Raw genomic sequence first — 14515 nt, forward strand, 5'->3', positions numbered from 1 at the left:
CCCACCTCAGCCTCCCAAAGTGCTGGGATTACAGGCATGAGCCACTGCACCTGGCAATAAATTTTAAAAATAGGCTGGGCGCATTGGCTCAAGTCTGTAATCCCAACACTCTGGGAGGCCAAGGGTGGGCGGATGACCTGAGCTCAGGAGTTTGAGACCAGCCTGGCCAACATGGTGAAACCCCGTCTCTACTAAAAATACAAAAGTCGGCCGGGCACGGTGGCTCACGCCTGTAATCCCAGCACTTTGGGAGGCCGAGGCGGGTGGATCACGAGGTCAGGGGTTTGAGACCAGCCTGACCAACATGGTGAAACCCCATCTCTACTAAAAATACAAAAATTAGCTGGGCCTGGTGGTGCATGCCTGTAATCCCAGCTACTCAGGAGGCTGAGGCAGGAGAATTGCTTGAACCTGGGAGGCAGAGGTTGCAGTGAGCCGAGATCACACCACTGCACTCCAGCCTGGGTGACAGAGCAAGACTCTGTCTCAAAAAAATAAAATAACATAAAATACAAAATAAAAAAATAAAAATACAAATACAAAAATTAGCCAGTGGTGGTGGCGCGCATCTGTAGTCCCAGATACTCGGGAGGCTGAGGCAGGAGAATCACTTGAACCTGGGAGGCAGAGGCTGCAGTGAGCTGAGATCGCACCACTGCACTCCAGCCTGGGCAACAGAGTGAGACTTTGTCTCAAAAAAAAAAAATTAAAAAATAAAAAAAGAATGGGAAAGCTTTATATGTACAGACATCTAAAAATCTTCATGATATATATTGGATCTTTTTTTCCCCCCCAGGACCAAGACTTTCCAGGAAAAAAAAAAGGTGCAAAATAATTGTTGTGGTATTAAAATATGTGCACAGATTCTTTGATACTTCTCCCTTCAAGAGGTGGAGCCTAATGCCCCTTCCCTTTGAGTAGAGATTGGGCTTAGACGCTGGCTTCTCGGGAATAGAATGAGAAAAGAAGTGGCCGGGCCGGGTGGCTCATGCCTGTAATCCCAGCACTTTGGGAGGCCGAAGCGGGTGGATCACCTGAGGTCGGGAGTTGGAGACCAGCCTGACCAACATGGAGAAACCCCGTCTCTACTAAAAATACAAAATTAGCTGGGCGTGGTGGCACATGCCTGTAATCCCAGCTACTAGGGAGGCTGAGGCAGGAGAATTGCTTGAACCTGGGAGGCGGAGGTTGCAGTGAGCCGAGATCGCGCCATTGCACTCCAGCCTGGGCAACAAGAGCAAAACTCCGTCTCAGGGCCGGGAGCGGTGGCTCACGCCTGTAATCGCAGCACTTTGGGAGGCCGAGGCGGGCGGATCACGAGGTCAGGAGATCGAGACCATCCTGGCTAACATGGTGAAACCCCGTCTCTACCAAAAATACAAAAAATTAGCCGGGCGTTGTGGCGGGCGCCTGTAGTCCCAGCTACTCGGGAGGCTGAGGCAGGAGAATGGAGTGAACCCTGGAGGCGGAGGTTGCAGTGAGTCGAGATCGCACCACTGCCCTCCAGCCTGGGCGACAGATCGAGACTCGGTCTCAAAAAAAAAAAAATTCCGACTCAGAAAAAAAAAAAAAGAATGAGAAAAGAAGTGATGGTGACTGCAGAGACTCCATAAAAGGCACTGCCGCTTCCTCCTTGCCCTTTCTCTTGAATCACTGCCATGAAAACACGCAGATGGTCCCATGTGTCAAGCCACTGAGGACTCCAGCCAATGGCCATGTGAGCAAGTCCTGTTTGGAAGTAGGTCCTCTATCCATGTTTAAGCTTTCAGATGACTGCAGCCCTGGCCGATAGCTTGACTGAAACCTCTTGTGAGACCTTGAGCTAGAACCACCCAGATGAATCATTTCTGGATTCACAACTCTCAGAAACTGAGAGAAGTAATAAATGTTTGTTGTTGCATGATGCTGAATTTAGGGAAATTTGCTATGCAGCAATAACTAACTAATCTAAGAGTGTTAAGCAGGCTACTTTTTGTGTAATAAAGGAGATAAATAATACAGGCACATCTTGTTTTATCGAGCTTCACAGATACTGTGTTTTTTACAAATTGAAAGTTTCTGGCAACCCTGCATTGAGCAAGTCTATTGGCACCATTTTTCATTGCCCTTTTGTTTTGTTTTTCAGAGACAGGTTCTTATTCTATTGCCCATGCTGGAGTACAAATCATAGCTCACTGCAGCCTCAAACTCCTGGGCTCAAGTGATCCTGCTGCCTCAGTAGCTGGGACTACAGGTATGAGCCACTGTTCCTGGCTAATATACATATATACATTAAACAATACATATACATATATGTATATGTGTATTGTAGGGACAGGGTCTTACTATGTTGCCCAGACTAGTCTTGGACTCCTGGCCTCAAGCAATCCTTCTGCCTCAGCCTCCCAAAGCACTGTGATAACAGGCATAAGCCACCATGCCCTGGTGCCATTTTTCCAAAAGCAGATGCTCACTTCAAATATCTGTGTCACATTTTGGTAATTCTTGCAACATTTCAAACTTTTCATTGTTATTATATCTGTTGTAGTAAACTGTGATCAGTGATCTTTGATGTTACTATTGTAATTGTTTGGGGGCACCATAAACCACCCCCGTGTAAGACTGTAAACTTAATTGAGAAATGCATTTGTTCTGACTGCTCCATCAACTAACTTTCCCCCATCTCTCTCCCCTTCCTCGGGACCTCTGTATTCCCTGGACTAATATTAACATTGGACTAATATTAAAATTAGGCCAATGAAAGACCCTACAATGGCCTCTAAGTGTTCAAGTGAAAGGAAGAGTTGCACATCTCTCACTTTAAACCAAAAACTAGAAATGATTAAGCTTAATGAGGAAGGCAAGTCCAAAACAGAGACAGGCCAAAACCTAGGCCTCTTGCGCCAAACAGTTATCCAAGTTGTGAATGCAAATGAAAAGTTCTTGAAGGAAGTTAAAAGTGCTCCTCCAGTGAACACATAAGTGATAAGAAAGTGAAATGCCTTATTGCTGATATGGAGAAAGTGAGTGGTCTGCATAGATCAAACCTGCCACAGCATTCCCTTAAGCCAAAGCCTAATTCAGAGCAAGGCCCTAACTCTCTTTAATTCCATGAAAGCTGAAAGAGGTGAGGAAGCTGCAGAAGAAAAGTTTGAAGCAAGCACAAGTTGTCTTAACAAAAGAAGCCATCTCTATAACATAAAAGTGGAAGGTGAAGCAGCAAGCATTGATGGAGAAGCTGCAGCAAGTTATTCAGAAGATCTAGCTCAGATCACTGATGAAGGTCAACACACTAAACAAGAGATTTTCAAGGTAGGTGAAACAGCCTTCTACTGGAAGAAGATGCTTTCTAGGACTTTCATAGCTAAAGGGGAGAAGTCAATGCCTTGCTTCAAAGCTTCAAAGGACAGTCTGGCTCTCTTGTTAGGGGCTAATGCCACTGGTGACTTTAAGGTGAAGCCAAAGCTCATTTACCATTTTTAAATCCTAGGGCCTTTAAGAATTATGCTAAATCTACTAAGCTTGTGCTCTAGAAATGAACAGCAAAGCCTATATGACAGCACATCTGTTAACAGTATGGTTTACTGAATATTTTAAGCCCATTGTTGAGACCTACTGCTCAGAAAAAAAAGATTCCTTTCAAAATATTACTGTTCATTGACAATGGGACCTGGTCACCCAAGAGTTCTGATGGAGATGTACAAGGAGATGAATGCTGTTTTCATGCTGCTACCACAGCACCCATTCTGCAGCCCACAGATCAAGGAGTAATTTCAACTTTCAAGTCATGTTTTTTAAGAAATACATTTTAAGAAGGTCAGGCACTGGCCGGACATGGTGGCTCATGCCTGTAATCCCAGCACTTTGGGAGGCCAAGGTGGGTGGATCATCTGCAGTTAGGAGTTTGAGACCAGCCTGACCAACATGGTGAAATCCTATCTCTACTAAAAATACAAAAATTAGCTGGGCATGGTGGTGCATGCCTGTAATCTTAGATACTCAAGAGGCTGAGGCACAGGAATCACTTGAACCAGGAGGTAGAGATTGCAGTGAGCCGAGATTGTGCCACTGCACTCCAGCCTGGGTGGCAGAGTGAGAATTCATCTCAAAAAAAAAAAAAAAAGAAAGAAAGAAAAAGAAAAAGAAATACATCTTAAGGCCATAGCTGCCACAGATAGGTATTCCTATGATGGATCTGGGCAAAGTACACTAAAAACCTCCTAGGAAGGATTCACCATTCTAGATGCCATTAAGAACATTCATGATTCATGGGAAGAGGTCAAAATATGAATATTAACAGAAGTTTGGAAGAAGTTGATTCCAACCCCCATGGATGATTTTGAGGGGTTAAGAGTTCAATGGAGGAAGTCATCACAGGTGTGGTGGAAATAGCAAGAGAATGAGAATTACAAATGAACCCTGAAGACATGACTGAACTGCTGCAATCTCACGATGAAACTTGAACAAGTGAGGGGTTGCTTCTTAAGGATGAGCAAAGAAAGGGGTTTCATGAGATGAAATCAGCTCCTGGTGAAGATGCTATGAACATTGTTGAAACAACATAAAGGATTTAAAATATTACATAAACTTAGTTTGATAAGGCAGGGGCAGGGCTTGAGAGGATCAACTCCAATTTTGAAAGAAATTCTACTGTGGGTAAAATGCTATCAAATAGCATTGCATGTTACAGAGAAATCTTTCATGAAAGGAAGAATCCATCAATGGGCAAACTTCATTGTTGTCTTATTTTAAGACACTGCCATGGCCACCCCAACCTTTAGCAACCACCACCCTGATCAGTCAGCAGCCATCCACATCAAGGCAAGGCAAGACTCTTCACCAGCACGAAGACTATGACTTGCTGGGCCAGGTGCGGTGGCTCACGCCTGTAGTCTCAGCACTTTGGGAGGCCAAGGCAGGTGGATCCCCTGAGGTTGGGAGTTCAAGACCAGCCTAACCAACATGGAGAAACCCGTCTCTACTAAAAATACAAAAAATTAGCTAGGCTTGGTGGCACATGCCTGTAATCCCAGCTACTCAGGAGGCTGAGGCAGGAGAATTGCTTGAACCCAGGAGGTGGAGGGTGCAGTGAGCCGAGATCATGCCATTGCACTCCAGCCTGGGCAACAAGAGCAAAACTCTGTCTCACGAAAAAAAAAAAGAAGAAGAAAAAAAAGACTATGACTTGCTGAAGGCTCAGATGACCATTAGCATTTTTTACCAATAAAGTATTTAGTATTATTATTAATTATTATTATTAGTTTTTAGAGACAAGGTCTCACTCTGTTGCCTAGGCTGGAGTATAGTGGCACAATCATAGCTCACAGTAACCTCAATTCCTGAGCTCAAGTGATCCTCTTGCCTCAGCCTCCCAAGTAGCTAGTACTATAGGCGTATGCCACCACACTCAACTAATTTCTTTTTTTTTTTTTCTGAGATGGAGTCTTGCTCTGTCACCCAGGCTGGAGTGCAGTGGCGCGATCTCGGCTCACTGCAACCTCTGCCTTCCAGGTTCACGCCATTCTCCTGCCTCAGCCTCTGAAGTAGCTGGGACTACAGGCGCCCGCCACCATGCCCAGCTAATTTTTTGTATTTTTAGTAGAGACGGGGTTTCACCGTGTTAGCCAGGATGGTCTCAATCTCCCGACCTCATGATCAGCCCGCCTTGGCCTCCCAAAGTGCTGAGATTACAGGCATGAGTCACCCTGCCCGGCCCAACTAATTTCTTTAATTTCTAATTTTTTAGAGGTGAAGTCCTGTGATGTTGCCTAGGTTGGTCTTGAGCTCCTGGCCTCCAGCAATTGGACTCCCAAAGTGCAGGGATTACAGAGCCACTGCACCTGGCCTACAATAAAGTTTTGTTTTTGTTTTTGTTTTTATTTTTGTTTTTTTAATAGACAGAGTCTCCCTCTGCTGTCACCAGGCTGGAGTGCAGTGGCACGATCTCGGCTCACCGCAACCTCCGCCTCCCAGGCTCAACCTCAGCCTCCCAAGTATCTGGGCCTACAGGCACGCACCACCATGCCCAGCTAATTTTTGGTTTTTTAGTAGAGATGGGGTTTCACTGTGTTGGCCAGGCTGGTCTCGAACTCCTGACCTTGTGATCCACCTGCCTCAGCCTCCCAAAGTGTTGGGATTACAGGCATGAGCCACCACTCCTGGCCAAAAATTTTGTTTTTAATTAGCGAGGCGTGGTGGCAAGCACCTGTAGTCCTAGCTACTTGGGAGGCTGAGGTGGGAGGATCACTTGAGCCAGGAGGTCAAGACCTCAGTCAGTCATGATCCCGCCACTGCACTCCAGCTTCAGTGACAAAGTGAGACCCTGTCTCAAAAAAATAAATAAATAAAGTAAGAAAAGAATTAAGGACCTCATTAAAGAAATGGTAAATGGCATAGATATTACAAGAATGTTGTAAATTGTTACATGTTTTCCATTCAGTATATTTCTTTTTGGATGAATACTACGAAAAAAAAATGAGAAGGGAAACAAGACAGAAATTTTAGATGTTGGCCAATAACTTTTTAGCTTACTTTATAAAAATGGGTAATATACTGTGGATCCCTCCCAAATTGCTTGCCAATTGACCTAGTTTTTTTTTTTGTTTTTTTTTTTTTTGAGATGGAGTTTTGCTCTTGTCACCCAGGCTGAAGTGTAATAGTGAGATCTCGGCTCACTGCAACCTCTGCCTCCCGGGTTCAAGCGATTCTGCTGCCTCAGCCTCCTGAGTAGCTGGGATTACAGGTGCCACCACCACAACTGGCTAATTTTTGTATTTTTAGTAGAGACGGGGTTTCACCATGTTGGCCAGGCTGGGCTCGAACTCCTGACCTCATGTGATTCACCCACCTTGGCCTCCCAACATGCTGGGATTACAGGCATGAGCCACCGCGCCTGGCCTTACCTAATTTTTTGTGGGTACAAAAGTAAGCACCCTCTGTCTAACTCTTGGCTATGGGAATGATTCCCTCCAGGTTTGTGGAAAGACCTAACCTTGACCCTGCTCATGGCTGATAAGTCCCACTGGGAACCTGGCTGAGCCGTGGCAATCAAAATCCTTTCCTCCTTAAATGTGCATAGGACTCTGAGGGAGGTTAACCTCTGCAGGAGGCTGGACCTGCTGTATCTAAATGCAGAAGCTGATGGTAGCCATTTTATACTCTGTTGTGGGGACAGAAGGAGTCAATGAAAGAGGCAGGAGAGAGAGGAAAATGAATCAAGCAGAGACCTAAGAACAAAACAGACAGAAGAGAAGGACAACGCTTGAGTGTACTCAGGTTCCTGACTCCAGTTTAGAGTCTTCAGCTTTCACAAAGCCTACCTGTGTCCCTACAAAAAATTCTAGCTTGAGCCAGTTTCTGCACTTGTAGCCAAAAGACCCTTAGCCAGTACTCAAGTGGAGCCAAAAGCCACAGAAGTGGCTCTGTCTTCCACTTCTTTCCTTCCCATGATTCATACATTTTCTTAATTCAAGAACTTTATTATATAAATATTTACTGAGTACCTTACAAGACGCCCATGGGTAATGTGAGTAAAAAGAAAAAGATATCATGTCATTGATGTTTGGGAACAAACTGAGAATTTCAACGAAGTATTCTAACCCACTTGAAAGGAAAACATACATTTCAAATATTTAGAAAACTGTAACTCAGAATATATTATTCACTATCTTCTATGTTATATGCTACACATATTATAAAAAGATTACATAGATAATCTTCTTCAATTACCTTTTTTATTTATATTTTTATTTTTATTTATTTTTTTCAGACAGAGTCTCGTTCTGTCGCCCAGGCTGGAGCGCAGTGGTGCAATCTCAGCTCACTGCAAGCTCCGCCTCCCGGGCTCAGGCCATTCTCCTGCCTCAGCCTCCAGAGTAGCTGGGACTACAGGCACCCGCCACCACGCCCACCTAATTTTTTGAATTTTTAATAGAGACGGGATTTCACAACGTTAGCCAGGATGGTCTTGATCTCCTGACCTCATGATCCACCCGCTTCGGCCTCCCATGGGGTCTCGCTATGTTGACCAGCCTGGTCTCAAAATCTGGCCTCAAGCAATCCTCTCATCTCAGCCTCTCAAAATGCTGGGATTACAGGCATGAGCCACTGTGCCTGACCAATTACCTTTAAAAAAAAAGTGTATGAGTAAGAAAAATCCAATGTTCTGGCCAGGCGTGGTAGCTCACACCTGTAATCCCAGCACTTTGGGAGGCCGAGGTGAGCACCTCACCTGAAGTCAGGAGTTCAAGACAAGCCTGGCTAACATAGTGAAAGCCCATTTCTACTAAAAATACAAAAACTTAGCCAGGCGGGCGTGCAGGCACACGCCTGTAATCCCAGCTACTTGGGAGGCTGAGGCAGGAGAATGGCCTGAGCCCAGGAAGCGGAGCTTGCAGAGATTGCGCCACTGCACTCCAGCCTGGGCGACAGAGGGAGACTCCATCTCAAAAAGAAAAAAAAATCCAATGATCCAATCTGGAGCTGTTTTGGGTAATAGCTTCATGGTAGAAGGACTCTGATCAATGTCATTAATATGCACCAGATTTCCCCGACACGGGCATGTCTGTTTGGCATCCATAGAGTAATAGTTATTGCCTGTTCTCTGCTCCTGATGGGAAGTTAACTCCCAAAGCTCTCATTTCTCTATCTCATCACCTGGGGTAAGATAAAGCCATAACGGACTGTGTGTATTTGTGAATTATGTTGGCTCCATGTAAGAACTTTTCTCCAAATCCTGGCTAGACCATTTTCTAATTCTAAATTCATATTTCTCCAAGTCCTAAAATAGTTGAAAAGAAACGCGTTTAGAATTGTTTCCTGTATAGTCCATTAAATAGCATCAACATAAATTAAAATGTGCTGGCTGCCTTCTTAGTTTTTTTTTTTTTTTTTTTTTTAGACAGGGTCTCACTCTGTCCCCCAGGCTGGAGTACAGTAGCGGGATCATGACTCATTGCCGCCTCGAGCTCCCCAGACTCAGGTGATCCTCCCACCTCAGTCTCCTGAGTAGCTGGGAACACAGGTGAAAGCCACCACACCCGGATAATTTTTGTATTTTTTGTAGAGACAGGGTTTCACCACATTGGACACACTGCTCTCAAACTCCTGGGCTCAAATGATCTGCCTGCCTCAGCCTCCCAAAGTGTTAGCACTACAGGCATGAGCCACCATGCCCAGCCAAAATGTACCTTCTTTTAGAACAAATTTCAGTTTGTTCTAGAACCAACAAGTCATAAGAATATCCATAATCATGGTTGCAGTCTTAACTCTTATGACTGCATCCTATTGGTCACCAGAAGAAAAGACATGATACATGTATTAATAGGTTTATTAATCCATGCAGCATTTATTGAAAACTTTCTACATGTTACTATGTTGGCTCAAGATGTATAATAATAATAATGTCTTCATTGTCTCATTGAATCTTGCTTTTTTTTGGAGAGGGAGTCTTGCTCCATCGCCCAGGATGGAGTGCAGTGGCACAATTTCAGCTCACTGTAACCTCCACCTCCCAGGTTCAAGCGATTCTCCTGCCTCAGCCTCCCAAGTAGCTGGTATTACAGGCACGTGCCACCATGTCTGGCTAATTTTGGTATTGTTTTAGTAGAGACAGGTGGCGGGGGGCTGTGGGAGGGGGGTTCACCATGTTGGCCAGGCTGGCCTTGACCTCCTGACCTCAGGTGATCCACTCACCTCAGCCTCCCAAAGTGCTGGGATTACAGGCATGAGCCGCTGTGCCAGGCCCTCATGTAATCTTCATAGCAATCCTATGAGGCCGCTATTATCATCTCCAATTTACAGGAGAGGAATTTAGCCAACTTTTGCCTAAGGTCATAGAGTTAACAAGCCCAGTGTGTGTCAAAGACGGGCAATGTCATCTTAGTTTTAAGAAGTACAAGCTGGCCAGGTGCAGTGGCTCACAACTGAAATCCCAGCACTCTGGGAGGCCGAGGCAGGTGGATCGCTTGAGCCCAAGAGTCCAAGACCAGCCTGGGCAACATGGTAAATATCATTTCTACAAAAAAATACAAAAATTAGATGAGCACGGGATGTGACAAGACCCTGTCTCAAAAAAAAAGAAGAAAGAAGTACAAACTGGTCCAGGCACAGTGGCTCACACCTGTAAACCCAGTGGTTTTGGAGGCTAAGAAAAAAGGAGACCCCATCTCTAAAAAATGGGGCAAGGGGTGGGGACTCTGAATTAAGGTAATGACTGTTAACTGGAAGAGGGAAAATTTGAGAGCTAATTTGAAGTTGAAATGAGGCAGGACCTGATGACAATGAATTGGATGTGGAAGACAAAGGAAAGACAGACCCAACATCCTGGGTCACTCCCAAGTTTCTGGTAACGCCATTAAGTGACAAAAGACCATTAAGTGGCAATAGAGAATTCAGGAGGGGGCCAGGTATGGTGGATCACGCCTGTAATCCCAGCACTTTGGGAGACCAAGGAGGGCGGATCACGAGGTCAAGTGACAGAAACCATCCTGGCCAAAATGGTGAAACCCCATCTCTACTGAAAATAGAAAAATTAGCCGGGCGTGGTGGTGGGCTCCTGTAATCCCGACTACTCGGGAGGCTGAGGCAGGAGAATCGCTTGAACCTGGGAGGCGGAGGTTGCAGTGAGCCGAGGTGGCACCACTGCACTCCAGCCTGGTGACAGAAAGAATTCAGGAGGGATAGTTAGTTAGGAAAGGAGTTCAAATTGAGATCTAAACGGTGTGCATTTAGAAATAAGAAGTCTGTAGCACAGGAGAAAGATCTGCTGTAACTACAGAATCATCAGTGGCAGTGGAAGGCACAGAAATGAATGAATCCACTTGGGGACAGCATATAGAGAAGGAAAAGGGCTGAGGGCCAATCCATAGTGATGACACACAGTTGAGTATGCGTCCAGTACTGAGCCAGATAGACTGGGAACCCCATCCCAGCTCTGCCACAACACGTGACCTTGGACAGTTTACTCTCTACACATAACGACAGTAGTAATTCCTACCTCATGGAGTGACTGAAAATCAAATGAGAAAAGGTATCTAAAGAACCCAAAACCTGCCTGCCCCTAAGCAAATACTTAGTAAATGTTATTATCTCTACTAGAAAACACAGCAAAGATTTTACAAGTTTATAAACATTAAGTGTAACTTTCATATCTAGTAAGATATTTACCAAATAATAATAAACGTACTCTATTGAACAAGCTGGGTATTTTGCATTAGTCTCTTCAATCCAGGTAGCATTTCTCTGATTTAGTACTACGTTTATTATTCCCATTTCACAGCGGAAGAGACAGAAGCATTGAGAAGGTAATTGACTTGCCCAAGGTCACACATTCATGGTATGCATGAAGGGGGATAGGATGAAGGCCTTCTGGCCTTGGCCCCGCAGAAAGCTAAGAAAAGATCCCTGTTCACACACTTTATGAACCCATTAGAAAACATAATATGTACAAGAAAAACGTCATTGAGATTCACTTCACCTTAAAAATAACAGATAAAATTACTGCCCCATAGTTATGATTGCCAAAGGTGACAAAAGTAGAAAATAGACTTCTTGAAATTTTCTCCTGTAAATTTAAGACATTGTTTGATGTTTACCTTGTGTGTTTACATAAAGTAACAGAAAGATAAATTGTGGATGACTATACTATATCTGGTACACTGTAATTATGTTCAGAAAATAGAAAAATAATTGATGTATGACTATCTAAAAAGGAATACACTATCTAAGTGTTTCACTTAACTCAGTTTACCTGCTCCCAATCAAACTAGCAAGTGGTACAATTCTGTGTTTCACCCAGTGCTTTTTATTTATTTTTCTCTCCCCTCCCCTCATGCAGTGCTTTTTAAACTAAAGAATATATTGCAACTCAATAAATACACATTTACAACCCCACATACACTTCTATTTTTTTCTCGATGGCTTTATTACTTGAATGACTAGTAATGTAAGTTAAAGATTTTTTAATTGCTTCTTTTTCTTGCATATTTATTTGCATTCCTAAATTTACTTAACAAAAGGTTTTCTTATTTACATAGATCAATCTTGAGTGCAAAGCCTATAGAATATACTTGCAAGAAGACAATGGCTCTGCAGGGTTAAGGTATTAGAGCCTAAGTACCTTTCATTGTTTAAAACATGGGCTAAGTGCTTCGTTTTAACCTAAATAGAGACCCCTTTTAGCACAAAGAGCCAAAGTGAGTCATGGGTCCCTGCCTCATCTTTGCACGATTACAATGAGGCATAAAACTCTGAAAACCTTTAAAGGTTTTAAAAGCTTGCTCCCTCCACGCCCCCAACCCCCCATCATCACTTCCCAAATCATCAGTGTCACTCACTGCTAACCTCATCGCAGCAACTGCAATTATTTTAACACGTACTAATTAGGTTTATTAGGTCTTGGAGTTTGGGCCAGGTCTTTCCTAAAGGGGAAGACAAGTCCAGTCTGTAGATTATTAACTAGCTGGGTCTATATGCCATAAAGTCCATTCTGACCTTTTTATTTTTTCATGAGACATTGATCAATGAATGGATTGATAGGACCACAAGGAAACGTGAAGCATTTGTGTGTGCAATACTTTTTCCTCTAAAAGAATGATTACCTGACAGATTCTATTGAATGCCAAAATCTAACATAAATTTTATTCTTAAACAGGTGCAGCTTAATACAGTAGCTGTAAAATAAACATTTTTATAAGTCCACAGAGAGAAAGCCTGAGAAAGCATAGCATGAACTCAAGATTCACTGGTTACAACTCCCAATTAATTTTCCAGGAAAAATAGTCATTTATTCACACTCTACCTTAGTTTTCTGATGAAAATGGAAATGGAAGAGCTAATCTGATCCAATACTGGGGGGAGTGGGTAGGTAGGTTATTTTACACATATTTCTGTAGTATTTGGGTTTGTATAATGAGCACATAGTAAAACAATTTTTTTAATTATTTTGAAAATTGACAAAATATTGACCATCATTTTTTTTTTCAGTGAAGAAAAAGGCATGCAGACAGGATGCAGGTTATTCTTTCAATGTATCTATTCAGCCAAGATTGTCCTTACTGTTTGCCTCTTACAAAATTTTTCTGAGGCACAGCTTCCCAGATACCTAATTTTTCATTTCATTTCCTGGCATCCCACCCCTCTGCCCTCCAAAATGTTATACTAGACAGAAAACTCCATTTTTGAATTCTTTTCCTGCAGCATGTACAAAGCAGAATCTTAGAGACTCATCTCTGACATTAATGAATAAAAATTAAGTGTATAAGTCTCTTGAAAAAAAAGACTAAAAAAGAAGCATCTTTGAAAACAGAACTTTAGTTTTATTGAATTTTTTCTTTAATTCAGATTGCCTTTGCTTAGTTCTTGCAAGTTTAATTTACATCAAAATTTCCTGTTTGACTGTTCATTATATTTACCCAATATTTACACAAAGACTCCTTAGAAAGTACTGACAACATAGCTGTCAATTTGTTGCTGTCAATTAACGTGAATCTCTAATACTTTTTTCTCCCTGTGTAATGCATTCAAACTTTTCTGCCTAAAGATCTTGAAAAGAACATTTGGTCTTTCCCTTTCATTAAATTATTTTATTTTTGGACAGTTTGCACCCTTAACCCCATGAAACAGTGATTAAAATTTGCATAAATTCTCCTTCTCTATTCCCCTTGCCCACCAACCAGAGCTGTGCATTCTAATGTTCTTCACAGGTCCTCGGCAGTGAATGAAAATATTTATCTATAAATGCATATGAGGTTACCACAAGCTCTCTTGATGAGATTTACATTCCAAGAAGCCAGACATCTTAGAAAGTAGAATCAACATAACAATGCACTGAAACTGCAGGATTCCACAAATAAATTGCTGATAAATGTTGGTAACCCGTTTTCACTCTGCACTGTTTTTCATGAAAGTTATTTTAATTGCTTGCATACACACACACAGAGAGAAGGCTATGCTAGAGTAAATTAGTGTTTTGTCCCTTGCCAGAAGGAAGCTAAGAAGCTAAAAGATAATGAGTTTTATTAACTCTCATAATGTCTGCAAAGTAGTACAGCATCAAAGTATTGGATCCCATTTTAGTCACTCCCCAAAGACCTACTTACAGGAGCAAACGCATCAATACCTAATTGATCAGCAAAATGCCGGCTGATGCACTCTGCTTCCAGTTACTAGCTTAGTTCTTGCACCATTCCCACACACTGTAATGAACCTACCAAACACACACACTGCACTGTGTCGGAGTCAGCAAGATCTGTTCCCAAAGTTTCCTCAGAGCTCATTTGTTTGGAATTAGAATAACTTTTTCCATAGAAACTATGTTACAGGAAAAAAAAAAAAAAAAAAGAAGAAACTATGTTAAAATAGTTGTGAAGTTCTCTGGCCAGGACACAAAAGCTTTCACAGTCATTCTGCTAATTTGCAATGGAAAAAAAAAAAAGACTAGAAAGCAAAATGAAATTAAACAAAACTGTAAAAATAAAAGGATAAGAAATTGGTGTATTCATCCGTAATTCCAGTGCTTGAGAAAAGCAGATTTAAT

The 14515-nt window shown here is 42.7% G+C and overlaps 3 annotated features.

Moving 5' to 3' along the window:
• Positions 9944-10872: an enhancer, noted in NCBI's record as "OCT4-NANOG-H3K27ac-H3K4me1 hESC enhancer chr8:70887580-70888508 (GRCh37/hg19 assembly coordinates)". NCBI's record gives its function as "activates a minimal SCP1, AML or CMV promoter by ChIP-STARR-seq in naive H9 embryonic stem cells {active_cell/tissue: H9 hESC(naive)}" and the evidence as "EXISTENCE:reporter gene assay evidence [ECO:0000049][PMID:30033119]".
• Positions 11803-12731: an enhancer, noted in NCBI's record as "OCT4-NANOG-H3K27ac hESC enhancer chr8:70889439-70890367 (GRCh37/hg19 assembly coordinates)". NCBI's record gives its function as "activates a minimal SCP1, AML or CMV promoter by ChIP-STARR-seq in naive and primed H9 embryonic stem cells {active_cell/tissue: H9 hESC(naive and primed)}" and the evidence as "EXISTENCE:reporter gene assay evidence [ECO:0000049][PMID:30033119]".
• Positions 13472-14154: an enhancer, noted in NCBI's record as "OCT4-NANOG-H3K27ac hESC enhancer chr8:70891108-70891790 (GRCh37/hg19 assembly coordinates)". NCBI's record gives its function as "activates a minimal SCP1, AML or CMV promoter by ChIP-STARR-seq in primed H9 embryonic stem cells {active_cell/tissue: H9 hESC(primed)}" and the evidence as "EXISTENCE:reporter gene assay evidence [ECO:0000049][PMID:30033119]".

This window comes from Homo sapiens, chromosome 8 (assembly GCF_000001405.40).
Source record: "Homo sapiens chromosome 8, GRCh38.p14 Primary Assembly".
In the NCBI taxonomy this organism is placed as follows: domain Eukaryota; kingdom Metazoa; phylum Chordata; class Mammalia; order Primates; family Hominidae; genus Homo; species Homo sapiens.